At 42.7% G+C, this 13,065-nt stretch overlaps 1 protein-coding gene across 8 annotated transcripts in view; it reads left to right on the top strand.

Annotated features, from left to right (window-relative positions):
- Nucleotides 1–334: 334 nt before the first annotated feature.
- MTARC1 (mitochondrial amidoxime reducing component 1) overlaps nucleotides 335–13,065 on the top strand; it is a 32,747-nt gene continuing 20,016 nt past the window's right edge. Inside the window, exons 1-6 of one of the 8 annotated variants that reach the window (XR_921908.2) lie at nucleotides 335–641; nucleotides 4,913–5,086; nucleotides 10,065–10,227; nucleotides 11,296–11,487; nucleotides 11,574–11,697; nucleotides 12,254–12,611. Coding sequence is in view for 5 of the 8 variants with exons in the window: in XM_011509900.4 (XP_011508202.1) it covers nucleotides 367–641; nucleotides 4,913–5,086; nucleotides 10,065–10,227; nucleotides 11,296–11,487 (804 nt within the window). In the remaining 3 variants the exon portion in view is untranslated. Of the gene's footprint in view, nucleotides 642–1,760; nucleotides 1,865–3,494; nucleotides 4,393–4,912; nucleotides 5,087–10,064; nucleotides 10,228–11,295; nucleotides 11,488–11,573; nucleotides 11,698–12,253; nucleotides 12,612–13,065 lie in introns of those variants that run through there. The other 7 variants (XR_007063025.1, XR_001737362.2, XM_011509900.4 and 4 more) reach the window with 7 other exon arrangements.

Raw genomic sequence — 13,065 nt, forward strand, 5'->3', positions numbered from 1 at the left:
TTCAAAATCACGCTTTGTCCTGCAAATGTTGTATATTGTTTATTTTAGGTCAAATAACCCCATAAATACGTAAGTAAATAAATTGGTCACTTGCAGCGATCGTGGGGTGGGGGAGGGCACAGCGCCCTGCAGCGCAGGCGACGGAAGGTTGCAGAGGCAGTGGGGCGCCGACCAAGTGGAAGCTGAGCCACCACCTCCCACTCCCCGCGCCGCCCCCCAGAAGGACGCACTGCTCTGATTGGCCCGGAAGGGTTCAGGAGCTGCCCAGCCTTTGGGCTCGGGGCCAAAGGCCGCACCTTCCCCCAGCGGCCCCGGGCGACCAGCGCGCTCCGGCCTTGCCGCCGCCACCTCGCGGAGAAGCCAGCCATGGGCGCCGCCGGCTCCTCCGCGCTGGCGCGCTTTGTCCTCCTCGCGCAATCCCGGCCCGGGTGGCTCGGGGTTGCCGCGCTGGGCCTGACCGCGGTGGCGCTGGGGGCTGTCGCCTGGCGCCGCGCATGGCCCACGCGGCGCCGGCGGCTGCTGCAGCAGGTGGGCACAGTGGCGCAGCTCTGGATCTACCCTGTGAAATCCTGCAAGGGGGTGCCGGTGAGCGAGGCGGAGTGCACGGCCATGGGGCTGCGCAGCGGCAACCTGCGGGACAGGTACGGCCAAGCGCCGGCGCGGGGCAGCGCTGATCCGGCTCGGGGCAAGGGGGTGAGAAGGGAGGAGCGCAGGGGAGGTCTGCAGAGTCTGCTAACAGGTCCTTCCTCCTATTACAAAGAAACTGGGAGTTGGGTGAGACAAGGCCAAAGAGAAAAAGGAACCCTCACCCCCCAGCATCAGACCCCAGGGCTCTGGGACTCTGAGCGCGTGGACCCGTTTTCCCGGGGTGGGCGGATCTCCACCTCCCACTGGCTCTTTGGCGTCATGTGCTCCTGCTGAGGTGTGGTATCGCTCCCAGGTGTCTGCCAGTGAGCAAACTTCTTAATCTCCATTTAGTGGAGGCGGCTAGCTTGAAGAGGTTGGTTCCCAGTCGCTATTTTGAGTGACTTTCTTGAGATCTTGGAGAAAGCTGAACTGTAGAGTCCAGCCCTCCAAGAGCGCACCAAGGCGGAGCTCATAATAGTAATGACAGCAGTTCAACGAATACCTTCGGGCGCGGTGGCTCACGCTTGTAATCCCAGCACTTTGGGAGGCCGAGGCGGGTGCATTACCTGAGGTCAGGAGTTCGAGACCAGCCTGACCAACATGGTGAAACCGCGTCTCTACTAAAAACAAACAAACAAACAAAAAAACAAAAATTAGCCGGGCGTAGTGGCGCGCACCTGTAATCCCAGCTACTCAGGAGGCTGAGGCAGGAGAATAGCTTGAACCCGGGAGGTGGAAGTTGCAGTGAGCCAGGATTGCGCCACTGCACTCCAGCCTGGGCAACAGAGCGAGACTCCGAATCAAAAAAAGAAAGAAAGAAAGAAAGAGTTGTGGGGGCATTGCAGATGCTATTTTCCCCAATTCTCTCCAATGCTCTCAAGCACTCTTGTGGATAAAGAAGTTGAATTCAGAGCCACACAGCAGCAGAACCAGGACTCTTATTTTCTTTAGCACACTGGGGCTTTGTAAAGAGTGACTTTGTTAATGTCCTGTCTGGGTTCTGAGAGCTGCGTGGATTCCTGGGGTTCAGCGAAGGCTGCAAAACCCGGGAGCCGGCAGCTTTGTCCTCTTTAGGGTCTGGCTTCAGGCCAGCCTCGGGTCTTATTGTGAGGCTGCACTTGAAACTCCTTTCCAGAGCAGCCCTCGCAGTTCAGCAAGTAACACAGGACTAATGGGAGCTGTAACCTTTCTCCTACCAGCTCCCCAGACAGAGGGCAATTCATGACATAGTTGAAAGGTGAGTGACGTATGCATCTTTGCTTCAGGAAGGAAGCCAAGAATCCTAAATATTCCATGTTTTGGGCCAGGCGCGGTGGCTCACTTCTGTAATCCCAGCACTTTGGGAGGCCGAGGCGGGTGGATCACAAGGTCAGGAGATTGAGACCATCCTGGCTAACAGGGTGAAACCCCTTCTCTACTAAAAAATACAAAAAATTAGCCGGGCTTGGTGGTGGGCGCCTGTAGTCCCAGCTACTCGGGAGACTGAGGCAGGAGAATGGCGTGAACCCGGGAGGCGGAGCTTGCAGAGCTCCACTGTGGCAGAGATCTCGCCACTGCACTCCAGTCTGAGCGACAGAGTGAGACTAAGTCTCAAAAAAAAAAAAAATCCATGTTTCGTATAGTAGGCTCTGAAAAGTGGTAGAGTTTTTGTAGGCCCCAGAGGCAAAGGGCACTGGAATTTTACTACTTAGATTCAAAAAGCAGTTTTTGAGCTCATATTACAATAGATGACAAGAAGAGCTGGCCTTTGTACCAGACACTATGATAAATTCTTTATTTTCGTTCATCACACACTCCCAGAAAGTGTGATCAAAAGAAGCCAACACTGGCTTACAGTCCTAGGTTGTGACTAGACTAAACAGAGGTTGTGACACGTGCCAGGGTGCCAGCATAGAGGATGCGACACGTGCCAGGGTGCCAGCATAGAGGATGCAGTGCTGGAAGCTGGCTGGGGCCGTCAGGGACAACATCAGAGAGAAAGTAACAGCTTGAGCTGAAAACTGGAAAACGATTCAGAACTTGCTGGGCAAGTAAATTGGGAGAAGAACTTTCTAGAGAGGGAATAAGCTGGGCAAAGACACTCGGCTTGTGAGGATGGGGTATGCTAGGGGAAAGGCTGGCATAGTCAATGCCAGAGGGGTCCAATCTTTTGGCTTCCCTGGGCCACATTGGAAGAAGAATTGTCTTGGGCCACACATAAAATACACTAACACTAACAACAGCTGATGAGCAAAAACAAAAACAAAAACAAAAAAAATCTCATAATGTTTTAAGAAAGTTTATGAATTTGTGTTGGGCCTCATTCAAAGCTGTCCTGGGCCACGGGTTGGACAAGCTTACTCTAAGGTATTTACCAAAAGGAACTGGGACATAAATAGGATGAATGTTCTTTGCAGCATTGAGTGTTGAATGTTCATTATGATGTTATTCACAGTAGCCAAAAGGTGGAAACAACTAAGTGTCCATTGATGGATGAGTAGATAAGCAAAATGTGGTATATACACACAATGGAATATTATTCAGCCATGAAAAGGAATGAAGTTCTGATATGTGCTACAACATGGATGGCCCTGGAAAACATAATACTAATTGAAATAAGCTAGACACAAAAGGACAAATATTGCATAATTCCAATTATATGAAATGTCTAGTGGATAAATTTATAGAGACAAAGTGGATTAGATGTTACTGGGGGCTGGGGGAAGGGGAAAACGAGGAGTTATTGCTTAATTGGTACAGAGTTTCTGTTTGGGGTGATGAAAAGGTTTTGCAAATAGTGGTGATGGTTGCACAACACTGTGAATGTACTTTACTGCCACTGAATTGCACACTTCAAAATGGTTAAAATCACATTTAAAAAATTCCATTCTCTGTTGATGGACACTCGGGCTGTTACTACTTTTTCAGCATTTTGATTAAAGCTGCAATAAACATTGATACACAAATGTCTGTTTGAGTTCCTGTTTTCAGTTCTTTGGGGTCTATACGTAGGAGTGTGCTAGGTATTTTATGTTTTATATATATTTTACTGCAATTAAAAAATAAATATATAAAAGACTGGCCTGTGTGAAGACCTCGGGAGGTAAGAATGGCTGGAGCAACAGCTGGATCATGAAGGGCTGGGCACGCCCTTGTTTAGGAGTTGGTTTTATCCTGAAAGCAGGAACCATGGAGGGATTTTGAATGAGGGGGTCATAAAGTTAGATTTGCATTTTAGAGCGATGTAAACTGCCATTACCAGGAAGAATATTAGACAGAATATTCACCTGCTAGTCCCAAGGATTTGGGTCAGGGCAGGCCTCTGTCTGTGCAGAAACAAAGTCTGGTAAAAGGGCAGTTACGGAAAGGGCTTATACTAAGCATATTTTTCTAGTGTAGCTGAACAACTCAACCATGATAACCTGCTGGAAGTGATGCAAGAAATATCTTGAACGACCTAAAGTACCGGCCATATTTTTTTCTTATGTCTGGAAATCTCAAAAGCACATGCTCACTTCTATAATTGTAATCATTTGATCAGTGTGTACTGTAAGGATTGAAATGCCAATATGTTTTGCTTCCTTGGTAGCTGAGAGATAACCTGCAAAAACATGTTGTTCTTGTTCTGGAAATGGCTCTTTCTATTACCTTTATTTCTCCATTTATCTTTTTTTCTAGGAAGTACCTGTAGACCAGGAATACTGGGCCAGAAGAAAAAAATACTGTCTAGTTTAGCAAATTGCAGAATGGACAGCACTGAATGTTGGAACATAAAATTTTTAAAAGGTGGGGGGCTGGAACTGGCAGAGTATAAGTGGCACTGTGTGTTGCTCAGCTGAACTCCATGCCCTGTGAACAATATAAGCAACAGTCCTGCTATTTCCACTGACAAGAGCCCGTTGCCTACCAGATGCCAGGCCCTGTGCTTCCTCCTGCCTTTGAGGTCTTCATGTAAAATAGATTCTTGTCATCTGCTTGGGGCATGTTTAATGAAAGTGATCAGGCTTTCTAGAGATTGAGATGAAAATATAATTAACATCTTTGATTTCTGTGCCATCAAAGAGCTCAAACTGTTCTCCAGATATATGTTGGATGCTTGAGTGGTTATGAAATCCTTTGAAATTAAGTGACAGACTCAGTCCTGTGTGCTGATGTTTAGGACAGACAGACACACACACTCAAACTCACACACACCAGGCTTATGGGGAAGAAATCAAAGATGACAACAGTGTCTAATTGAAGCTCCTCCAGGGTCTGGCTTCCTGCCATAATGGTTCACACATATCCTGTGTTTTGAAAACGGCAGGTTTTGGCTTGTGATCAACCAGGAGGGAAACATGGTTACTGCTCGCCAGGAACCTCGCCTGGTCCTGATTTCCCTGACCTGCGATGGTGACACCCTGACTCTCAGTGCAGCCTACACAAAGGACCTACTACTGCCTATCAAAACGCCCACCACAAATGCAGTGCACAAGTGCAGGTAAGGAAAGGGCAGGTCGTAGCCCTTGTGTGAATGAATAGTCATGCAATTTTGAGAAAGCATAAACTCTAGAGGGAATGCTGAGAAACATATCAATAATGAACCGTTGATTGCATGTGTACCATATACAGAATGAAGTCCTCAACATTATGAAGATCTAAAAGAAGGAGAAAGAAGGAAGCAGCTTCAGAAACTTGTGTTGTGGAGATGACAGACATGAAAGTGCTATGTAGAAACCCATGAGAACAAAAGCATATTGACATGTCAGCAAGAGAAAAATAACAGCACCCAAAGATCAAGCACAAAAATGGGGTGGGAGTGGTGGGGGCGAGTGTCCTAGCAGAGGTGAAACTCGATCTACGTATTCTCATAGAACTTTTTCTTCTTGGCTTAGAAAAACTGGGCACCTTCCAAGTCTGAGTTAGGAAAGGAGTTGCAAATGGCTATGTGACCCGTAAGATTTAGTTCTAATGAAAGGAAGTTCCAAAATAGAAAAGAACAACTCTAGCTAGAAGAGTGATCCAGCCAGCGGCTGCCCAGGGGTCAGTGTCAGAATGAGGCTGGGGATGTAACCCAGGAGGATGTTCTGTACACAAGCCCTTCCCTCAACATCAGAAGGGCTGCAATGAAGCAATTCTTCTAGGAAAACTAGTTTTGCCTCCAAGAAGTCATGTCTAGAGTTGATTTCTTATCTGATTATGGGAAAATTAGAGTTGGTCCAGTTATATTCTTGTTATAGTTTCTGCATTTGGAATAAAGATGCAGTGTGAATGTAGTTTATAGCCTATCATAAAAAAATAGCATCACCTCAAAAAATGTAGTTATCTGAACAACGTCTAAAGACCCAGAAAAGTTCACAAAATGCAATACTGATGTAATTTCTACATTTTAGAGTTTTAAACTTGATAATATACTTTTTTGAATTTGGTGGCTTTTCAGATTAGAAAAGTGGTACATATTCATTGTTGAAAATTTGGGAAATACCAAGAAAAAAAAAAAAAAGAAACAAAAACTATCTGTGATAACTAATTAATATTGCAGCATATTTTCTTTCGGTCTCTATGCCTACTACTTAAAAACTAAACTGAAATAATACAAAAAATCCTTTAATATTGTTTATATACTTAAATTGATATGTTGAGTATTTTTTCATATTGTTAAAAAATCTTTAAGGATACCATTTTTCATGTTGGCATAATATTTCATTTTGTGGGTGTCCTCTAATGCATTTTAATATGCCCCATGATTAAACATTTTGATTGTCTTAATTTTTTTCCAGGTATTAAGAAGAATGTGATGAATATCTTGGCATAAATCTTTGTTTATATCATTTGTTGTTTTCTTAGGGAAAAAATTCTAGCAGTGGTTTTGCTTGAAATAAGAATATGGATCCTGTAGGCTTTTGATACACCTTGCTAAATTGTTTGCAGAATGGTTTTACCAATTCCATTTTAACCATTATGTTAAAAAACATTTTGCCATTTTTATGGGCAAAAATGATAATTTCTTGTTAATTTAATTTGTATTTTTCCCTGAATGAGGTAAGCTTTTAAATACTTATATTGCAATCTGTATTTCATGTTTGTCCATGTCTTGATTTGTGTTTATTTGCCATGGTTAGATATTTACCCATATTTTCTTACAGTTAATTTTTTTGTTTAATTTTTAATTCATTTGAAATTGTGTTGAAACTTTTTTCACAGTCCCATATGGGCATTTGGTCCATGCCCAAAAGACTAAACAAGGGCATGCTTGCAAATTGCAAAATGAAAAGGCTTAGACATGCTACGGTAGTATACAGACTCTTCGAGCAAAGATTCCAAGAATCTTCTGGATTCAGGTTTCTTTTGACAGCCCAACCTATTCTCTTATGAGGGAGCTGTAACCTCAGCCCACAGTTTCCTAAAGATTTCGGATGAGTTCTTGGGGCGCTGGGGTCGTGATCACAGGCAGTACACCTGTTTTCATGGTCGAAGATGTTACTTGATTTTCTCACATGCCTTGCCTGCTATTAATAAGATACACAGAATTAGGGACTTTGGCTATGGATTATTCAGACAAACAGCCTCAAACCTCAAACCATCTCAAGCCATGCCTACATTATCTTTGTCAAAGGGTCAAAGGTTATAGGAGCATTTGGAATTTTATTTTAATTCTTCACTTGCACTTTTTGGGACAGTGTGCAGGTGGGGTGCTGGGGCCAAGATACAGCAGAGGCCAATCAGAACTCAGGAGAAATGTGGCAGGAGCAGGAAGAAGGCAGAACAAATTCTACTCGTTGAAAGGCCTCAAGTTCTGGGTGATTATGAACCTGAACCCCAGGATCTAGAAATAGATGTTGCAATGGAAATCAGTGTCAGATTAGCAGGGCAGATGTTTAAATGGCCCAAGATAGATGCAAATGCTTTGACTTTGTAAAAATAATTATTGCCAATTGAAGCCCCAAGGAGTCAAAGCAGCCTTCCTGTCTATATCCTCCACTGTGTGTGCCCTCCCACCCTCCTATAAAAGCAACTAAGGGAAGCCCTGGGCTGCCAAATGGCAAGTTGAGACTGAGAGGGTGCCTTGGTGGGCTGTAAGGGTTTGACTGGAGAAAGGAGGGTGATTTTTTTTTTTTTTCTCATAGGCACCAGCAAAGAGACATCTAACAAGGAGATGACCTTCAAGGCTGTCTCCATACCTAGATATTTGGTAATGCTGGCATTTCACAAGATGCTTCTGAAATTAGCATTTCAGACATTAAACTGCACACACACACACACAGATGCTAAGCCCCCCACATATATTCAGTTCTAGAACTGGTGGATTTGATTTTTTGGGAAAAGTAAAAAATTATTTGGAGCTAAAGCCTGTGAATAAGAAAACGATAGGATCTTTTTTTTTTTTGGTTAAAAAATGAGGTTAGGCTTAAAAGTAGAAATAAGTAGATATGATTAATACTAGGTTAGAATGATTACTTCCCAAGGTGACTGCTCTGAAAGGTAATATCCATTTGGGTGTATAAATTTGGGTATGTTTATTTTATTCATTTTATTTATTTTTCATCTTGATCCAGAAAAGAGTAAGGCAGACACTCCTGGTCTTTGTAAATGGTCTCATTACTTCATAGGCCTTGGGTGCATATTTCAGCCCTCTGATTCTCAGGAGTTAATTTAGAATGGGTGGGGTGACAGTGTGTGAAAAGGTATCAAGTCATATACTACAGCAGTGTACTTTTCTGCATGAGTGTTACGCTTCAATAAAAAGTTTTTAAAAATTTATGAAAACTTTGAATACACCAATCTACTGCTTAATGTAACCCAGACACTGTTAGTAATGACTTCTCATTTTAGATATAAAGCAATAAAATAAAATTATATACAATTATATAGGATACTATACTCAATATATTTTACAATATAAAAATCCATTTATACATTATTATTAGAGAATGGATGCTTTTGTTGGATTAAATGTTTGATTTATGGAGTAACTATACAAAGATAGCTTGAAATAACTTGGTTGGGGGACCCTGGGTCATTACTACCTACTGAGCATATCCCAGTCCTAAGAATTGTTTGGGGACTTCTTACGGATTGTTCCTAATCCTCACAACAAAGTTCTGCTTCTACCCCCATTTTATTGATGAAGAAACTGAGTCTCAGAATAAGAAACTATCACCAAGGCCATGGAGCTAGTCATTTGTGGAAATGGAATGCTCACCCAAGTAGATTTACTTGATCCACTAAGCTTTCTCAAACTTCCAGCATTTGCATAACACCACGATGATAGTAGGCCAAACCATAAACCACCTGTACTCTTGTTTACTTAATATTTCTCTTTAAATTGATTCAGCTTATAAACTAATCTTAAACACATTTATTTAAAAAAGAAACTTTATGTAGTTACCTATATAATTTGCCAAGTATACGGCTTTGTATGGCTACCTATATAATTTATATATATGGGTTTATATATAAATTTATGTGGCTACCTATAAACCTTATATGGCTACCTGTATACAAACTTTATATGGCTACCTATATAATTTGCCAGAAAGTAACCAACACTCAATATGCTAAAACATTACTAAATTCTAGCTAGAAGCTGTTGCCTACAGAGGTCTCTGGACCTAAGGTGTGTTCTTTCTTTGTTAAAAGAGGAGATTATCAAGTGTTGCTAAAAGGTAAAGATTTATTACCACTAAACTGAAATTTCTCTCTGTGCAATTCACTGTTATTTAATGCTATACCCAGGTGCCATCTACAGTTATCTTGAATGCCAGCAGTGGTAATGGTCTTGCATTTTGTGAAACACTGGCCTACACCATAGCATTTATTTTCCTCTCCATAGCTGTGAAATTCATATAACGCCAAACAGCCCTGCACAGGACTATGTGCTGGGGAGTGGGAACTTCAAATCCTACAAAGTTATAACTTGCAATCAAATCCAGTAGATTATTATTGTTATTATTAAATAAATATAATATTATTGTTAATGATTGTTATATATATAGTTATTATCTGTAATGTTTTAGGCTTTATAGAACATTTTCATATTGTTGCTGTACTATACTGGCAAAGCATAGCCAGGCCTGTGAATAAAGATTTCTGGTCGCTATTCAGCTGGGTGAACTAGATTTTGCAGTAATTCTAAGTTTACTTTATACTGATACATTAGTTTTCTTCTGGAGAACTCAGTACATTTTTAAATATATTATTTCATTTCATCCTCCCTGCATTCCTTCCAGGTAGGGAGACACAGTTGTACAAAACTTGATTTTTAAAATGAGGAAAGCAATGCTTAAAGGGGTGCTTTCATTTTCATTTGGCCTTACACAGGTTTGGAGTCAGGACCAGGACTAAAATTACATCTTCTGATAATTAAGAAATGACAGTAATGTTACAGCTAGGAGCAGCTTTTCTGATATAGCTGGCACATATTAGGGTGCATGGATTTTCAAAGCCATGTCTGCCCTTTGCTCCTGCTACCCCTGCAGAGTGCACGGCCTGGAGATAGAGGGCAGGGACTGTGGCGAGGCCACCGCCCAGTGGATAACCAGCTTCCTGAAGTCACAGCCCTACCGCCTGGTGCACTTCGAGCCTCACATGCGACCGAGACGTCCTCATCAAATAGCAGACTTGTTCCGACCCAAGGACCAGGTGAGAGGTTCTGCTGCCTCCATGGGTAGAAAGCAGTCACCCCCAGATCAGGGGGCTCAGGTGGCATCTCTGATGACCTCGGCTCTGTTGTTTTCTGGGGCAGCCCTCTGGTAGCTCAGATCACAAGCAGTAGGCAGAAATAAAGCCCTTCCCTTGGAAGCATTGTTTGTTTCTTTGTTTGGGGGACTCTTGAATTTTTGCCCTTGAGCATCTACCTTCCTATTTGTGTAAGCATTCTGATGCCAGTAGGGTTTCAAAACTGTTCTGCACCAGTGTCTTTTTTTCATTCCATTCTGTAATTGCACATGGAGTCCAGAATTTTTACAGTTTGCAGTTGTATGTCAGATTCCAATTGTGCAAGTTGGCATGGGTATGGAGATACACAGACTCAAATGATCAGCCTTAATGGCATAAAGCTCTAAGGATTCATCATAAAAGCAGGGTTTGTAGTACCATATACTGCTTTTACCATGGCCATAAAAAAAATAAATTATGCTGTAGTCCTTACTGCTAAGGAGGCTGAGGTGGGAGGATTGCTTGAGTCCAGAGAGTTGAGGCTGCAGTGATCTGTGATGGCACCATTGCACTACAGCCCAGGTGACAAGGAGTCTCTGTCTCAAAATATATAAATAAAGAAACAAGCAAATGCATAAATTATGGTCAACATAAATATTAATTTGTAAGTTGCATAAAATAAGTATTCATGGAATTAGTGAACATTTAAATCAAACATAATGAGGTCATCAAACTCAACCACCTTATTAAACATTTGAGAAATGGGAGGCTTAGAAAGGTTCAGTGATGTCCCCAAGGGCACATGCCTTGTGGCAGCTTAGGATTGATTCTGAGTCCTTGTTCCCTTCATTCCACCATGCAGTTTCTGCTATCTGCAAGGCTATTGAAAACTTCTGAGTCACTGTGACTTCTATTAAAAGAACAAGAGAACTACTTTGAAAGATTGTGTGTGGGGTGGGGTGGAGCATGGAGGCTATGTCTAGGAACTAGGCACACCTAACCACTGAAAAGTTGGTGTGCCATGTGTTATAACAATGTCTATTTCCTTATCAGATTGCTTACTCAGACACCAGCCCATTCTTGATCCTTTCTGAGGCGTCGCTGGCGGATCTCAACTCCAGGCTAGAGAAGAAAGTTAAAGCAACCAACTTCAGGCCCAATATTGTAATTTCAGGATGCGATGTCTATGCAGAGGTAACACTATGCCCCTTTGGATCTTTCCTTGGATTTGACTTCTTTTTTAAGGTATGAGAGTCTTTGACATTGGATTAGATTATTCTGAAGGGTGCATTATTTATCAACTCTGTAATACATAACAATTTGATTTTTAGATTTATTCAGCACTTAATAAGTGCAGACTTCTGTGTGGAGGATACAAATGTTGATGGGTCAGAGACTGTCATCAAGGAGGCAGTTCAGTATCTAAGGCTTCTAAGGAGAATTCTGAGTTGACAGGTTCGTTGTTGAGTCACATTTTCTTGCATAGACTACATGATCTGTGTGGGCCATGGAACAAAGAAAGTGTGTGCTCCTGTCTTGTTAAAGGATGGTCTTACTGTTTAGTAGACGGCTCTCTTGGAGAAGACAGGCATTTACTGCAAGGCTGCTGGGTGAGGGTTGGGAGAGGTTGTTGCCCCTAAGCTTCATGGCACTACCCTGAAATGCTTGCAGTGCCACCTTCCATCTGCCCTCAGATGTTTGCGTGGTGACTTAGCTTGAACAGCCCTGAGGCTTGGTTTCTGGGATTCCACAGGATTCTGGCAGCAAATTTACCTTTGTAATAAATGGCCTTTGGCTATTTAACTTGATTCTCTCCCTGGGCTTCCATGAAGGCAGAGGTTGGTGGCCTAGAGGCATGGTGAGTGGCCACCAGCTGTGGATACTCAACAGAAACCCTGACCCACAGCTAGGAATTCAGGAGCTCTGGTTGTGCCTCAAATTTATGTTGAGAAGGGAGAGGTAAAGGGGACCATATAGTGGTTCTTACGTCTGCCCATTTCCTCCATAACAGGGAAAAATGGAATCAAAGCAATTGAGTTTTAACCTTTTATCCTCAGAGGAGCCAATTATATTCTTCACTTTTGCTGTACGGAGGCAAAACTATGCTGAAAGAGAAATAATCTAAGAATTTGATTCCCACATTCAAACCAGAAGATGTGACGGCTGGTTTCAGCTTCTGCACTGGCTTCTGCATGACTTTGAGCAGCCCCGCTAAGTCCCATTTACCTTGCCTGAACAATGAGATGATCATATTTCTGCCTAGGGTTACCTTAAGGGTCTGTTGAAGGGTCAGTTTGGATAATGTAATTTATGAGATGTATAAAAGCAATATCAATCGATGGAGGATAATAAAAGTACGCCCAAATCCACTGCTAATGCTTCATATAAAATACTCATTGCTCCAAACTTCCAAGGGTAGCGTTTCTTCTAAAGATGGTGGAGAACTTCCTAGTGTGAGGCGGGTGGACTGTGTGCATGTCCCCCAAGGTCCTGGGTTGGGCATCTCTCAGTGCTTCTTTGTGACAAGAAATTTCTGCCTGTCCTGCTCCTGTGCACCATGGGCCAGCCTGACTTAGACAACAGGAAAATAATCAGTGTTTGGTTGCCTTTGACCATCTCCTTGATATTCATCTTCCACCAGCTATGGCTAGGAGAGCCATTTCTCCTGAGAACGTTCCTTCTCAGGAAAAGAGAAATGAGTGGGGAGGGTTTTGAATGAATACTTGTGTTGCGCTTAAGTATGTTGTCTCTTCTATGCCTCACGGCAGCCCAGCGGGATAAAGCTATCATTCCTATCTTACAGGAGAGAAGAGAGAGGCTTGG

Source organism: Homo sapiens, chromosome 1, assembly GCF_000001405.40.
Source record: "Homo sapiens chromosome 1, GRCh38.p14 Primary Assembly".
Classification (NCBI taxonomy): domain Eukaryota; kingdom Metazoa; phylum Chordata; class Mammalia; order Primates; family Hominidae; genus Homo; species Homo sapiens.